Below are 17,121 nucleotides of genomic sequence, written 5' to 3' on the forward strand. Positions count from 1 at the left end.
AAGCCTCTCTGATGAGATGTCTTGAAGGCAGGAGCAGGTCACAAATAGATCCGAGGAAATGCATTCTTGGAATAGGGAATAGCAAATGCAGAAGCAAATCGCTGTTTGCACTCCAGTAATTGGGGATCCCTAAATATTACAAGTGACCATTTTCTCAAGTTAAAAACAGATCATGAAAAGCATTCAGGTTTTGTCGTAGTTTATTTTAACTTGAATAATTTTGGACTTCCAGACTGTAATACTTTGTCAACTGTCTCATAAAAATGAGTATCATCAATTATGTCTTATGCTGAGATGAACATTTTTTTCTAAAATAAAAAATCAAAATTTAAACTCTTCCTATGCTTATGATAATTTTCCAAGAGAAATTAGTAACAGGTACACCTGTAAGCAAAATATCTTATAAATACCACAAATCACTTTAGCAAATAAAACCTATCTTCTAAGATGAGAGGTAATATCTGTTAGAAACCCAAAGAGGGCTTATTTCTGTCCTGAATAACCTGAAAAATGACACTTTTGTCTACTCTTTAGGGCAGTATTGTTTCTTACCTCGCATTATTGTTAGAAAACAACAACAACACAGCACTCTTTATCTGGACATAAACTTTTTCATGGGACACCTGTTTTTCCCAGTCTCTTACTATTCCATACAACCCACAATTTTCTGAATCAGAAGGAATTTATGTATTCATTTCACAAGCAGTATGTTATAATCAGTCTTTCTGGTCTTTAGTAGATTCATGTCATGGCTATTTTTATATTGGAGACATTCTTTACAAAGTCTTTTGACTTTATCTTCTAATTTAGACTCTCATCTTTGTCTCAAGATAATTTGCTTTCAATTTTTTTTTCAAATAGTTAGCTAATTTTCACTGTTCAGTTATAAAATTACTATTAGATAGATCTTGGCTTTTCTACATCTGAACCCTGTGTTGCTTTCCTCTCACATTTCTAAGTCTTTGTCTTTTTTGCCTCATATTATGGATTTGCTAACCTCTTTTTCTAGAATACTAGTTTGTTCTGCACTTTCAATGGTTTGGCAATGGTTTATTAGTCCCCACCAAAACTCACATTGAAATTTGATCCCAAATGTGGTGGTATTAGGAGGTGAGACCTAATGGGAGGTGTTTGGATCATGGAAATGGATCCCTCACAAAGGGCTTAGTGGCATTGTTGTGGTACTGAGTTCTTGCTCTGGCAAGACTGGATTAGTTCTCATGGGAATGAGTGAGTTCCCTTGTCTATGGGTTGTTATAAAGCCAGGCTACCCCTTGATCTGCTTCCCCTTTGACCTTCTCTGCCATGCTGTGATGCAGCATGAAAGCCCTCACCAGAAGCCAGGGCCATGATCTTGAACTTCCCAGCCTGCATCTTTTCTTTATAAACTACCCAGCCTCAGGTATTTGACTATAGCAATGCTAAATGAACTGAGACACCACCATATTTTGATATTTGTTTTAATTTCGGAGAACTCTTTTTTGTGTGTAATATGATTGCTCCTTTGTTATAGTACTCTTATTTTGGTTTGGTTCAACAACTTCTTAAATCTCTCTGAGGCTGTTAATTAGATTATTGAAAATTGTTTCTATTGTTATACATTTTATTCTATTCCATTTCCTTTGAGAATAGAATGTTCCCTTTGTTAATTTCCTTTATACTTTTGGTCTGTATCAAATGTTTTGTGATCTTTGGTCATCTGTTTATATTTACAAAGGACCAGAGTAATTGAAAAATCTGTCATAGGGATTTCTGCCCCCCTCCCCATGCGTTTGTTGGGCATATTTACTCAACAGGATTATTTCATTGAATGAAAGGATGGACTGTAGATTCTGAAAGTGGTTGGGACATATTGACAAGTGAGAGTGCATCTGTAGCAGATGAGTAGAAACCAGGCAGGTTAGTAGAACCCCTCATAATTATCAAAATAGGTAGAAAATTATCATGGAAAAGGAGTGTAATTCTTTCCTGGGATGAGCAGCCTTTCCTTTTTTTTTCCCTTCCATGCCCACTGGAAAGATCCAGATATATTCATTTTAGGTCTGCTTTTATATTTGGTTCAACATATAAACTCTGAACCTGTGTAGGAAGAGCTTTCTCTTTACTTAAATGTCTTGGGGTCAAATGTCTCTACTGCTTGCCATTCTATGCATTCTGGTAAGTTAAATAGTGGAACTGGTTCTGCTGTGTTGAAATAAATATTTTCCTTGATGTGATAATTTGTCCTCCACCCATTTCCATTTTTTGAATATTAGAATTTCTCTTTCTAATGGAAGGAACAGCTCATATATCTAAAGTAACTCTGTTTTTCTTTCTTAAAATTTTTTTTATTTCCATAGGTTTTGGGGGAACAGGTGGTATTTGGTTACATGAGTTAAGTTCTTTAGTGGTGATTTGTGAGATTTTGGTGCTGCCATCACCCGAGCAGTAATCACTGAACCCGATTTGTAGTCTTTTATCCCTGATCCCCTTTTCACCCTTTCCCCCTGAGTCCCCAAAGTCTATTGTGTCATACTTTTTTTTTTTTTTTTTTTTTTTTTTTTTTTTTTTTTTGAGACAGAGTCTCGCTCTGTCGCTCAGGCTGGAGTGCAGCGGTGCCATCTCGGTTCACAGCAAGCTCCACCTCCCGGGTTCACATCATTCTTCTGCCTCAGCCTCCCGAATAACTGGGACTACAGGTGCCCACCACCATGCCTGGCTAATTTTTTTTGTATTTTTAGTAGAGACGGGGTTTCACTGTGTTAGCCAGGATGGTCTCGATCTCCAGACCTCATGATCTGCTTGCTTCGGCCCCCCAGGCGTGAGCCACCGCGCCCAGCCTTTTGTGTCATTCTTATACCTTTGCATACTCATAGCTCAGTTCCCACTTATGAGTGACAACATACATGTTTGGCTTTCCATTCCTGAGTTATTTCACTTAGAATAATAGTCTCTAATCCCATCCAGGTTGTTGCGAATGCCATTAGTTCATTCCTTTTTAAGGCTGAATATTCCTTCATATATAAATACCACAATTTCTTTATCCACTTGTTGATTGATGGGCTTTTGGGTTGGTTCCACATATTTGCAATTGTGAATTGTGCTCCTCTAAACATGCATGTGCAATGACTTCTTTTCCTCTGGGTAGATCCCCAGTGTTGGGGTTGCTGGAACAAATGGTAGTTCTACTTTTATTCTTTAAGGAATCTCCACACTGCTTTCCATAGTGATTGTACTAGGTTACATTCCCACCAGCAGTGTGGAAGTGTTCCCGTTCACTACACCCACATGGACATCTATTATTTTTTGATTTTTTGATGACGGCCATTCTTGCAGGAGTAAGGTGGTATCACATAGTGGTTTTGATTTGCATTTCCCTCATCATTAGTGATATTGAACATTTTTTCATATGTTTGATGGCCCGTGTATATCTTCTTTTGATAGTTTTCTATTCATGTCCTAGCCCACTTTTTGATGAGATTGTTTGTTTTTTTCTTGCTAATTTTTTTGAGTTTGTTGTAGATTCTGGATATTAGTCCTTTGTCTGATGTATAGATTTTTAAGATTTTCTCCCACTCTGTGGGTTGTCTGTTTACTCTGCTGACTGTTCCTTTTGCCATGCAAAATCTCTTTAGTTTAATTAAGTTCCACCTATTTATCTTTGTTTTTTTCATGCATTTGCTTTTGAGTTCTTGGTCATGAAATCCTTGCCTAAGTCAATGTCTAGGAGGATTTTTCCAATGTTATCTTCTGGAATTTTTATAGTTTCACATCTTAGATTTAAGTTCTTGATTCTTCATCTTGAGTTGATTTTTGTATAATGTGAGGGATGAGGGTACAGTTTTATTTTCCTACTTGTGACTTGCCAATTATCCCAGCATCATTTGTTGAAAAGGGTGTCCTTTCCCCACTTCATGTTTTTGTTTGCTTTGTTGAAGATCAGCTGACTGTAAGTATTTGGGTTTATTTCTGAGTTCTCTATTCTGTTTGATTGGTCTATGTGCCTATTTTTATATCAGTATTATGCTGTTTTGGTGACGATGGTCTTATAGTATAGTTTGAAATCAGGTAGTGTGATGCTCCAGGTTTGTTCTTTTTGCTTAGTCTTGCTTTGGCTGTGTGGGCTCTTTTTTGGTTCCGTAGGAATTTTAGGATTGTTTTTTCTAGTTCTATGAAGAATCATGGTGGTATTTTGATAGGGATTGCATTGAATTTGTAGATTGCTTTTGGCAGTGTGGTCATTTTCACAGTATTGATTATACCCATCCATGAGCATGGGATGTGTTTCTTTTTGTTTGTGGCATCTATGATTTCTTTCAGCAGTGTTTTGTAATTTTCCTTGTAGAGGTCTTTCACCTCCTTAGTTAGATATATTTCTAAGTATTTTAGTTTTTTTTGCGGTTATTGTAAAAGGGGTTGAGTTCTTGATTGGATTCTCAGCTTGGTTGCTGTTGGTTTATAGAAGAGCTACTGATTTGTGTACATTAATTTTGTATCCAGAAACTTTGCTGAATTCTTTTAACAGCTCTAGGAGCTTTTCGGAGGATTCTTTAGGGTTTTCTAGGCATGCAGTCATATCATCAGAAAACAGTGACATTGACTTCCTCTTTACCGATTTGGATGTTATTTCTTTCTCTTGTCTGATTGCTCTGGCTAAGACTTCCAGTACTATGTTGAAGAGAAATGGTGAGAGTGGGCATCCTTGTCTTGTTCCAGTTCTCAGAGGGAATGCTTTCAGCTTTTCCCCATTCAGTATTATGTTGGCTGTGGGTTTGTCATAGATAGCTTTTATTGCATTGAGGTATGTCCCTTATATGCTGATTTTGCTGAGAGTTTTAATCATAAAGGGACAATGGATTTTGTCAAATGCTTTTTCTGCATCTATTGAGATGATCATGTGATTTTTGTTTTTAATTCTGTTTGTGTGGTGTATCACATTTATTGACTTGCATATGTTAAACCATCCCTGCATCCCTGCTATGAAACCCACTTGATCATGGTGGATTGTCTTTTTGGTATGTTGTTGGGTTCAGTTAACTAGTATTTTGTTAAGGATTTTTGTATCTATGCTCATCAGTAATATTGGTCTGTAGTTTGTTTTTTTTTGGTTATGTCCTTTCATGGTTTTGGGATTAGGGTGATACTGGCTTCATAGAATGATTTAGGGAGGAATCTCTCTTTCTCTATCTTGTGGAATAGTGTCAATAAGTTTGGTACCACTTCTTTGACTATCTTGTAGAATTCAGCTGTGAATCTGTCTGGTCCTGGACTTTTTCATTGGTAATTTTTTTTTGTTACCATTTCAATCTCTCTGTTTGTTATTGGTCTGTTCAGGGTATCTAATTCTTCCTGATTTAAGCTAGGAGGGTGGTTATTTTTCCAGGAATTTATCCATCTCCTTTAGGTTTTATAGTTTATGCATGTAAAGGTGTTCATAGTAGCCTTGAAATGATCTTTTATATTTCAGTGGTGTCAGTTGTAGTATCTCCTGTTTTGTTTCTAATTGAGCTTATTTGGATTTTCTGTATTCTTTTCTCGATAATCTTGCTAATGGTCTATCAATTTTACTTATCTTTTCAAAGAAGCAGGTTTTATTTCATTTATCTTTTGTATTTTTTTGTTTCAATTTTATTTAGTTCTGCTCTGATCTTGGTTATTTCCTTTATTCTACTGGGTGTGGGTCTGATTTGTTCTTATTTCTCTAGTTCCTTGCAGTGTGACCTTAGATTGTCTATTTATGCTTTTTCAGACTTTTTGATATAGACATTTAGGGCTACGAACTTTCCTCTTAGCACTGCCTTTGCTGTATCCCAGAGGTTTTAATAGGTTGTGTCACTATTGCCATTCGGTTCAAAAATTTTTTAAATTTCCTTCTTTATTTCACTGTTGACCCAATGATCATTCAGGAGCAGGTTTAATTTCCATGTATTTGCATGGTTTTAAAGCTTCCTTTTTGGAGTTGATTTCCAGTTTTATTCCACTGTGCTCTGAGACACTACTTGATATGATTTCAATTTTCTTAAATTTATTGAGACTTGTTTCATGGCCTATCATATGGTCTATATTGGAGAACATTCCATGTGCTGATAAATAGACAATATATTCTGTGGTTGTTGGGTAGAATATTCAGTAAATATCTTTTAAGTCCATTTGTTCCAAGGTATAGTTTATATCCACTGTTTCTTTGTTGACTTTCTTCTTGATGACCTGTCTAGTGCTGTCAGTGTAGTATTGAAGTCCCCCACTATTATTATTGTGTTGCTGTCTATCTAATTTCTTAGGTCTAGTAGTAATTGTTTTATAAATTTGGGAGCTCCAGTGTTAGGTGCATATATATTCAGGATTGTGATATTTTCCTGTTGTAGAAGGCCTTTTATTACTACATCATGTCCTTCTTTGTCTTTTTTAACTGCTGTTGCTTTAAAGTTTGTTTTGTCTGATATAAGGATAGCTACTCCTGCTCACTTTTAGTGTCCATTTGCATGGAATATCTTTTTCCACCCCTCTACCTTAAGTTTATATGAGTCCTTATGTGTTAGGTGAGTCCTGAAGGCAGCATTGATAGTTGGTTGGTAAAATCTTATCCATTCTGCAATTCTATATCTTTTAAGTGGAGCATTTAGGCCATTTACATTCAACGTTAGTACAGAGATGTAAGGTACTAGTCCATACATTGTGTTATTTGTTGCCTGTATATCTTTTTTTTTTCAATGTCTTTTTGTTTTATAGGTCCTGTGAGATTTATGCTTTAAAGAGGTTCTGTTTTGATATGTTTCCAGGATTTGTTTCAAGATTTGGAGCTCTTGGCCAGGTGGTGGCTCATGCCTGTAATCCCAGCACCCTGGGAGGCCAAGGCAGGTGGATCACTTGAGGTCAGCAGTCTGAAACCAGCCTGGCTGACGTGGCAAAACCCTGTCTCTACTAATAAGCAAAAATTAGCTGGGCGCAGTGGTGGGTGCCTGTAATCCCAGTTACTCAGGGGACTGAGACAGGAGAATCGCTTGAATCCTGGAGGCCAAGGCTGCAGTGAGCCAAGGTTGCACTACAGCCTGGGCAACAAAGCGAGACTACATCTCAAAAACAAAAACAGAAACAAAAAAAAAAGAAAGAAAAAAAAGATTTGGGCTCCTTTTAACAGTTCTTGTAGTTCTGCCTTGGTAGTGGTGAATTCTCTCAGCATTTGTTTGTCTGAAAAAGACTATCTTTCCTTCATTTGTGAAGATTAGTTTTGCTGGATACAAAACTCTTGACTTAAAATTGTTTTGTTTAAGAGGGCTGAAGATAGGACCCCAATCCCTTATAACTTGTAAGGTTTCTGCTGGGAAATCTGCTGTTAATCTGTAGGTTTTCCTTTACAGGTTACCTGATGCTTTTGTCTCACAGCTCTTAAGATTCTTTCCTGCATCAAAAAGGAAGTGTTTAAGTAGATTTTTGTCAACTAGCAAATGCCATTTTAGTCTGAGCATTTCACCACCTCATTCTACACCATCTGTCTCTCAGGGAGCAATTAATCTGAAACTCCAACATGCAGCATTAAAATTCTATTAACACTGAACAGAATATTAACGTGTCTGGCATTGCCATTTTTTTTTTAAATTATACTTTAAGTTTTAGGGTACATGTGCACAACGTGCAAATTAGTTACATATGTATACATGCGCCATGTTGGTGTGCTGCACCCATTAACTCGTCATTTAACATTAGGTATATCTTCTAATGCTATCCCTCCCCCCTCCCCCCACCCCACAACAGGCCCCGGTGTGTGATGTTCCCCTTCCTGTGTTCTCATTGTTCAATTCCCACCTATGAGTGAGAACGCACGGTGTTTGGTTTTTTGTCCTTGCGATAGTTTGCTGAGAATGATGGTTTCCAGCTTCATCCATGTCCCTACAAAGGACATGAACTCATCATTTTTTATGGCTGCATAGTATTCTATGGTGTATATGTGTCACATTTTCTTAATCCAGTCTATCGTTGTTGGACATTTGGCTTGGTTCCAAGTCATTGCTATTGTGAATAGTGCCGCAATAAACATACATGTGCATGTGTCTTTATAGCAGCATGATTTATAATCCTTTGGGTATACACCCAGTAATGGGATTGCTGGGTCAAATGGTATTTCTAGTTCTAGATCCCTGAGGAATTGCCACACTGACTTCCACAATGGTTGAACTAGTTTACAGTCCCGCCAACAGTGTAAAAGCATTCCTATTTCTCCACATCCTCTCCAGCATGAATCCTGACTCCAGACTGTAGTCTCTGTTGTTTACCTCTACCATAGAATTCTTTACAGAGCCTTTTTTTTTTTTTTTTTGGAAATCAACAGAATTATATACAAAGAAACTCTGTGGAATTGCTAATATTTAAATAGATTCAGGCATGAAACAGGCCATGTCATGCCTGCTGAAATATTGCAATGAAAAACTACTATTACATAATTAATCATGCTACGTATGGGCTTATGTCAAGATCTAATATGACGGACAACCCCAACAAATAATATCAACATTACAAAATGGTTCTACCATTATACTGCCCATTTTAAATGTGTTTTGTATAGTTTTTGTATGGCTTTTGCATTGGCTTTTTATAATAAATGATGTCATAAACAGAAAAAAAAAAGATTCTTTCCTTCATCGTAACTTTAGATAACCTGATGACAATGTGCCTACGTGATAGTCTTTTTATGATGAATTTCCTGGTTGTTCCTTGAGCTTGTTATATTTGGATGTTCAGGTCTCTAGCAAGGCTGGGGAAGTTTTCCTCAATTATTCCCCCGAATATGTTTTTTTAAACTTTTAGATTTCTCTTTGTCCTCAGGAATACTGATTATTTTTAGGTTTGGTCGTTTAACATAGTCTCAAACTTCTTGGAGACTTTGTTCATTTTTTCTTTGTCTTTGTTGAATTGGGTTAATTTGAAAACCTTGTCTTAGAGCTGTGAAGTTATTTCTTCTGCTTGTTTGATTCTATTGCTGAGACTTTCCAGAGCATTTTGCATTTCCATAAGTGCATCCATTATTTCTTGAAGTTTCAATAGTTTTTTTTTTAAATTATTATTATACTTTAAGTTCTGGGTACCTGTGCACAACGTGCAGGTTTGGTATATAGGTATACATGTGCCATGTTGGTTTGCCACACCCATCAACTTATCATTTACATTAGGTATTTCTCCTAATGCTATCCCTCCCCCAGCTCTCCCACCTCTGACAGGCCACGGTGTGTGATGCTCCCCACTCTTTGTCCAAATGATCTCATTGTTCAATTCCCACCTATGAGTGAGAACATGTGGTGTTTGGTTTTCCATCCCTGTGATAGTTTGCTGAGATTGATGGTTTCTGGCTTCATCCATGTCCCTGCAAAGGACATGAACTCATCCTTTTTTATGGCTGCATAGTATTCCATGGTGTATATGTGCCACATTTTCTTTATCCAGTCTATCATTGCTGGACATTTGGGTTAGTTCCAAGTCTTTGCTATTGTGAATAGTGCCGCAATAAACATGTATGCATGTGTCTTTATAATAGCATGATTTATAATCCTTTGGGTATATACCCAGTAATGGGATTGCTGGGTCAAATGGTAATTCTGGTTCTAGATCCTTGAGGAATCGCCACACTGTCTTCCACAATGGTTGAACTAATTTACACTTCCACCAACAGTGTAAAAGCATTCCTATTTGTCCACATCCTCTCCAGCATCTGTTGTTTCCTGACTTTTTAATGATTGCCATTCTAACTGGTGTGAGATGGTATCTCATTGTAGTTGTGATTTGCATTTCTCTGATGACCAGTGATGATGAGAACTTTTTCATGTGTCTGATGGCTGCATAGATATCTTCTTTTGTGAAGTGTCTGTTCATATCCTTTGCCCACTTTTTAATGGGATTGTTTGTTTTTTTTTCTTGTAAATCTGTTTGAGTTCTTTGTAGATTCTGGATCTTAGCCCTTTGTCAGATGGATAGATTGCAAAAATTTTCTGCCATGCTGTAGGTTGCCTGTTCACTCTGATGGTAGTTTATTTTGCCATGCAGAAGCTCTTTAGTTTAATTAGATCCCATTTGTCTATTTTGGCTTTTGTTGCCATTGCTTTTGGTGTTTTAGTCATGTAGTCTTTGCCCATGCCTATGGCTTGAATGGTATTGCCTAGGTTTTCTTCTAGGGTTTTTATGGCTTTAGGTCTAACATTTAACCTTTAATCCATCTTGATTTAATTTTTGTATAAGGTATAAGGAAGGGATCCAGTTTCAGCTTTCTACATATGGCTAGCCAGTTTTCCCAGCACCATTTATTAAATAGGGAATCCTTTCCCCATTGCTTGTTTTTGTCAGGTTTGTCAAAGATCAGATGGGTATAGATGTGTGGTGTTATTTCTAGGGCCTCTGTTCTGTTCCATTGGTCTATATATCTGTTTTGGTACCAGTACCATGCTGTTTTGGTTACTGTAGCCTTGTAGTATAGTTTGAAGTCAGGTAGTGTGATACCTCCAGCTTTGTTCTTTTTGCTTAGGATTGTCTTGGCAATGTGGGCTCTTTTTTGGTTCCATATGAACTTTAAAGTAGTTTTTTCCAATTCTTTGAAGAAAGTCATTGGTAGCTTGATGGGGATGGCATTGAATCTATAAATTACTTTGGGCAGTACGGCCATTTTCACGGTATTGATTCTTCCTATGCATGAGCATGGAATATTCTTCCATTTGTTTGTGTCCTCTTTTATTTCATTGAGCAGTGGTTTGTAGTTCTCCTTGAAGAGGTCCTTCACATCCCTTGTAAATTGGATTCCTAGGTATTTTATTCTCTTTGTAGCAATTGTGAATGGGAGTTCACTCATGATTTGGCTCTCTGTTTGTCTGTTAATGGTGTACAGGAATGCTTGTGATTTTTGCACATTGATTTTGTGTCCTGAGACCTTGCTGAAGTTGCTTATCAGCTTAAGGAGATTTTGGGCTGAGACGATGGGGTTTTCTAAATATACAATCATGTCATCTACAAACAGGGACAACTTGACTTCCTCATTTCCTAATTGAATATCCTTTATTTCTTTCTCTTTCCTGGTTGTCCTGGCCAGAACTTCCAACACTATGTTGAATAGGAGTGGTGAGAGAGGGCATCCTTGTCTTGTGCTGGTTTTCAACAGGAATGCTTCCAGCTTTTGCCCATTCAGTATGATATTGGCTGTGGGTTTGTCATAAATAGCTCTTATTATTTTGAGATATGTTCCCTCAATACCTAATTTATTGAGAGTTTTTAGCATGAAGGGCTGTTGAATTTTGTCGAAGGCCTTTTCTACATATATTGAGATAATCATATGGTTTTTGTCATTGGTTCTGTTTATGTGATGGTTATGTTTATTGATTTGTGTATGTTGAACAAGCCTTGCGTCCCAGGGATGAAGCCAACTTGATCCGTGATGGATAAGCTTTTTGATGTGCTGCTGGATTCGGTTTGCCAGTATTTTATTGAGGATTTTTGCATCAATTTTCATCAGGGATATTGGTTTCTAAAATTCTCTTTTCTGTGTGTGTATCTCTGCCAGTCTTTGGTATCAGGATGATGTTGGCCTCATAGAATGAGTTAGAGAGGATTCCCTCTTTTTCTATTGTTTGGAATAGTTTCAGAAGGAATGGTACCAGCTCATCTTAGTACCTTTGGTAGAATTCGGCTGTGAATCTGTCTGGTCCTGGACTTTTTTTTGGTTGGTAGGCTATTAATTACTGCCTCAATTTCAGAGCCTGTTATTGGTCTATTCAGAGATTCAACTTCTTCCTGGTTTAGTCTTGGGAGGGTGTATATGTCCAGGAATTTATCCATTTCTTCTAGATTTTTTAGTTTATTTGCATAGAGGTGTTTATGGTATTCACTGATGGTAGTTTGTATTTTGTAGGACCAGTGGTGATATCCCGTTTATCATTTTTTATTGCATCTGTGTGATTCTTCTCTCTTTTCTTCTTTATTAATCTTGCTAGCAGTCTATCGATTTTGTTGATCTTTTCAAAAAACCAGCTCCTGGATTCATTGATTTTTTTGAAGGATTTTTTTGTGTGTCTGTATCTCTTTCAGTTCTGCTCTGATCTTAGTTATTTCTGGCCTTCTGCTAGCTTTTGAATGTGTTTGCTCTTGCTTCTCTAGTTCTTTTAATTGTGATGTTAGGGTGATGATTTTAGATCTTTCCTGCTTTCTGTTGTGGGCATTTAGTGCTATAAATTTCCCTCTACACACTGCTTTAAATGTGTCCCAGAGATTCTGATACATGTTGTCTTTATTCTCATTGGTTTAAAAGAACATCTTTATTCCTGCCTTCATTTTGTTATTCACCCAGTAGTCATTTAGGAGAAAGTTGTTCAGTTTCCATGTAGTAGTGCGGTTTGGAGTGAGTTTCTTAATCCTGAGTTCTAATTTGATTGCACTGTGGTCTGAGAGACAGTTTGTTGTGATTTCTGTTCTTTTACATTTGCTGAGGAGTGCTTTACTTCCAATTATGTGGTCAATTTTAGAATAAGTGCGATGTGGTGCTGAGAAGAATGTATATTCTGTTGATTTCGGGTGGAGAGTTCTGTAGATGTCTATTAGGTCTGCTTGTTGCAGAGCTGAGTTCAGGTCCTGGATATCCTTGTTAACCTTCTGTCATGTTGATCTGTCTAATATTGACAGTGTGGTGTTAAAGTCTCCCATTATTATTGTGTGGGAGTCTAAGTCTCTTTGTAGGTCTCTAAGGACTTGCTTTATGAATCTGGGTGCTCCTGTATTGGATGCATATATATTTAGGATAGTTAGCTCTTCTTGTGGAATTGATCCCTTTACCATTATGTAATGGCGTTCTTTGTCTCTTTTGATCTTTGTTGGTTTAAAGTCTGTTTTTGCAGAGACTAGGATTGCAACTCCTGCCTTTTTTTTGTTTTCCTTTTGCTTGGTAGATCCTCCTCTATCCCTTTATTTTGAGCCTATGTGTGTCTTTGCACGTGAGATGGGTCTCCTGAATACAGCATACTGATGGGTCTTGACTATTTATCCAATTTGCCAGTCTGTGTCTTTTAATTGGGGCATTTAGTCTATTTACATTTAAGGTTAATATTGTTATGAGTGAATTTGAGCCTGTCATTATGATGTTAGCTTGTTATTTTGCCCGTTGATTGATGCAGTTTCTTCATAGCATCGATGGTCTTTACAATTTGGCATGTTTTTGCAGTGGCTGGTGCCGGTTGTTTCTTTCCATGTTTAGTGCTTCCTTCAGGAGTTCTTGTAAGGCAGGCCTGGTCCTGACAAAATCTCCCAGCATTTGCTTGTCTGTAAAGTATTTTATTTCTCCTTCACTTATGAAGCTTAGTTTGGCTGGATATGAAATTCTGGGTTGAAAATTCTTTTCTTTAAGAATGTTGAATATTGGCCTCCACTCTCTTCTGGCTTGTAGCATTTCTGCTGAAAGATCTGCTGTTAGTCTAATGGGCTTCCCTTTGTTGGTAACTCGACCTTTCTCTCTGGCTGCTCTTAACACTTTTTCCTTCATTTCAACCTTGGTGAATCTGACAATTATGTGTCTTGGGGTTGCTCTTCTCGAGGAGTATCTGTGCTGTTCTCTGTATTTCCTGAATTTGAATGTTGGCCTGCCTTGCTGTGTTGGGGAAGTTCTCCTGGATAATATCCCGAAGACTGTTTTCCAACTTGGTTCCATTCTCCCCATCACTTTCAGGTATACCAATCAAACATACATTTGGTCTTTTCACATAGTCCCATATTTCTTGGAGGCTTTTTCATTTCTTTTTATTCTTTTTCTGTAACCTTGTCTCCTTGCTTTATTTCACTAATTTGATCTTCAATCACTGATACCCTTTCTTCCGCTTGATCGAATTGGCTATTGAATCTTGTGCATCCGTCATGAAGTTCTTGTGCCATGGTTTTCAGCTCCATCAGGTCATTTAAGGTCTTCTCCACACTGTTTATTCTAGTTAGCCATTCATCTAATCTTTTTTCAAGGTTTTTAGCTTCCTTGCAATGGATTCAAACACCCTTCTTTAGCTCAGAGAAGTTTGTTATTACTGACCTTCTGAAACCTACTTCTGTCAACTCATCAAAGTTATTCTCCATCCAGCTTTGTTCCATTGCTGGTGAGGAGCTGCGATCCTTTGGAGGAGAAAAGGCATTCTGATTTTTAGAATTTTCAGCTTTTCTGCTCTGGTTTCTCCCCATCTTTGTGGTTATATCTACCTTTGGTCTTTGATGTTGGTGACCTACAGATGGGGTTTTGGTGTAGATGACCTTTTTGTTGATGTTGATGCTATTCCTTTCTTTTTGTTTTCCTTCTAACAGTCAGGTCCCTCAGCTGCAGGTCTGTTGGAGTTTGCTGGAGGTCCATTCCAGACCTTGTTTACCTGGGTATCACCAGCGGAGGCTGCAGAACCGCAAGTATTGCAGAAGAGCAAATATTGCTGAACAACAAATATTGCTGCCTGATCCTTTCTCTGGAAGCTTCGTCCCAGAGGGCAGCCGCCTATATGAGTTGTCTGTCCACCTCTACTGGGAGGTGTCTCCCAGATAGGCTACACGGGCATCAGGGACTCACTTGAGGAGGCAATCTGTCCTTTCTCAGAGCTCAAACGCGGTGCTGGGAGAACCACTGCTCTCTTCAGAGCTGTCAGACAGAGACGTTTAAGTCTGCAGAAGTTGTCTGCTGCCTTTTTTTGAGCTATGTCCTGCCCACAGAGATGGAGTCTAGAGGCAGTAGGCCTTGTTGAGCTGTGGTGGGCTCCACCCAGTTCGAGTTTCCTAGCTGCTTTGTTTACCTACTCAAGCCTCAGCAATGGCGGACACCCCTCCCTCAGCCAGGCTGCTGCCTCACAGTTCAATCTCAGACTGCTGTGCTAGGAGTGAGCAAGGCTCTGTGGGCGTGGGACCCACCGAGCCAGGCACGGGAATCACCTTGTCTACTGGTTGCTAAGTCCTTGGGAAAAGCACTATTTTGGTGGGAGTGTCCTGTTTTTCCAGGTAGTCTGTCACGGCTTACCTTAGCTAGGAAAGGGAAATCCCCCAATCTCTTACACTTCCTGGGTGAGGCGATGCCCCCGCCTGCTTCAGCTCGCCCTCCTTGGACTGCACCCACTGTCCAACCAGTCCCAGTGAGATGAACCAGGTACCTCAGTTGGAAATGCAGAAATCACCCGTCTTCTGCGTCGATCATGCTGGGAGTTGCAGACTGGAGCTGTTCCTATTTGGCCATCTTCCAGTTTCAATAGTTCTTTATTTTATTTATGCTATCTATTTCTTTTCCTTTTTTTTTTTTTTTTTTTTTTTTGAGATGAAGTCTTACTCTGTTGCCCAGGCTAGAGTGTAGTGGTGTGATCTCGGCTCACTGCAACCACTGCCTCCTGGGTTCAAGTGATTCTCCTGACTTAACCTCCTGAGTAGCTGGGACTACAAGAGCATGCCATCATGCCCAGCTAATTTTTGTATTTTTAGTAGAGATGGGGTTTCACCATATTGGCCAGAATGGTTTTGCATTCCTGACCTCAAGTGATCTGCCTGCCTCAGCCTCCCAAAATGTTGGGTTACAGGGGTGAGCCACCGTGCCTTGCTATTTATGCCATCTATTTCACTGAAGATTCCGCCTCTCATTTCTTGAGTCATTTTTTTTAAATTTCCTTAAATTGGACTTCACATTTTTCTGATGCCTCCTTGTTTAGCTTAATAACTGACCTTCTGAATTCTTTTTTAGGAAAATCAGGAATTTCTTCTTGGTTTGGAGCCATTGCTGGTGAGCTAGTGTAATTTTTTGGGGGGGATGTTAAAGAAAGTTGTTTTGTCATATTACCAGAATTGTTTTTCTGGTTCCTTCTCACTTGGGTAGGCTATGTCAGAGGGATGGTATAGGGCTCAAGGCTGCTATTCAGATTTTTTGACCCACGGGGTGTTCTCTTGCTGTAGTATTCTCCCCCTTTTCCTATGGATGTGGTTTCCAGAGAGCTGAGTGGTAGTGATTGTTATCTCTCTTCTGTATCTAGCCACCTAGCTGGTCTGCCAGGCTTCAGGCTGGCACTGAGGGTTGTCTGCACAGAGTCCTGTGATGTAAACCATCTGCAGGTCTCTCAGCCATGGATACCAGCACCTGCTCTGGTGGAGGTGGCAGCAGGGTGGAATGGACTCTGTGAAGGTCCTTAGTTTTGGTTGCTTAATGCACTATTTTTGTATTGGCCTCCTGCCAGGAGGTGGCACTTTGAAGAGAGCATCAGCTGTAGTAGCATAGGGGCATCAGGCAGTGGGCAGGGCCCTAGAATTCCCAAAAGTATATGCCCTTTGTCTTCAGCTGCCAGGGTGGGTAGGGAAGGACCATCAGGGGGGCAGGGCTAGGCATGTGTGAGTTCAGACTCTCCTTGGGTTGGTCTTGGTGGCAGCTGCTGTGGTGGATGGGGGTGTTGTTCCCAGGCCAATGGTGTTATATTCCCAGGAGGATTAGGGTTGCCTCTGCTGTGTCATGCAGGTTGTCAGGGGAGTGAGGGAAAGCTGGCAGTCACAGGCCTCACCCAGCTCTCATACAACCCAAAAGGCCAGTCTCACTCCCACCTTGCCCTCTCAAACAGCACCGAGTCTGTTTCCAAGCAGTGGGCAAGCAAGACTGAGAACTTGCCCCAGACTACCAGCCTCCTAGCTGTGAAAGCAAACGGGGCTTTCCTGCCTCCCTGCCTGTGGAGTCTGCATACCAGATTCACACCCTCCCCTGAGGTCTGGACAGGAAACTTCAGGTTCTGTTGGAATTGTTACAAAGTTCAGCTGGAGGTTTCCTTTTCCCTGTGGTCTTTTCCAAATACCTCTGGCAGCCCTCCCCAAGGACTCCTATGAGACAAGGCAGAAATAGCTTCCCAGGGGACTCAGAGAGTCCACAGGGCTTTTCTTGCTGCTTCCTCTATCCCTGTATTTCACTCAGCTCTCTGAATCGACCCAGCTTAAGGTAAGGTCAGAATCTTCTCCCATGATCTAGACCTTCAGGTTCCCCATTGAGGGTGTGTGTTTGGGGCAGACAATCTCCATTTCCCACTTCCACAGCTTGGGCTCTATTTGGGGTGTCTCCTGGGTCCTCTAGGAGCATTCCGCTTCCTTCAGATGGTCTGTGAGTGCTCTCAGCTTTCCTGGTTAATTTCTGCAGTAGTTCTGGAGCAA

General features: G+C 39.5%; 1 protein-coding gene across 3 annotated transcripts in view; it reads left to right on the forward strand.

Annotated features, from left to right (window-relative positions):
* The window catches only part of HYAL4 (hyaluronidase 4), a 113,774-nt gene that overhangs the window by 66,257 nt on the left and 30,396 nt on the right, over positions 1 to 17,121 (forward strand). The window contains exon 4 of one of the 3 annotated variants that reach the window (XM_047420093.1): positions 14,281 to 15,721. The gene's annotated coding sequence lies outside the window, so the exon portion shown is untranslated. Of the gene's footprint in view, positions 1 to 14,280; positions 15,722 to 16,319; positions 16,913 to 17,121 lie in introns of those variants that run through there. The other 2 variants (NM_012269.3, XM_011515990.2) reach the window with 2 other exon arrangements.

This window comes from Homo sapiens, chromosome 7 (genome assembly GCF_000001405.40).
Source record: "Homo sapiens chromosome 7, GRCh38.p14 Primary Assembly".
Lineage (NCBI taxonomy): Eukaryota > Metazoa > Chordata > Mammalia > Primates > Hominidae > Homo > Homo sapiens.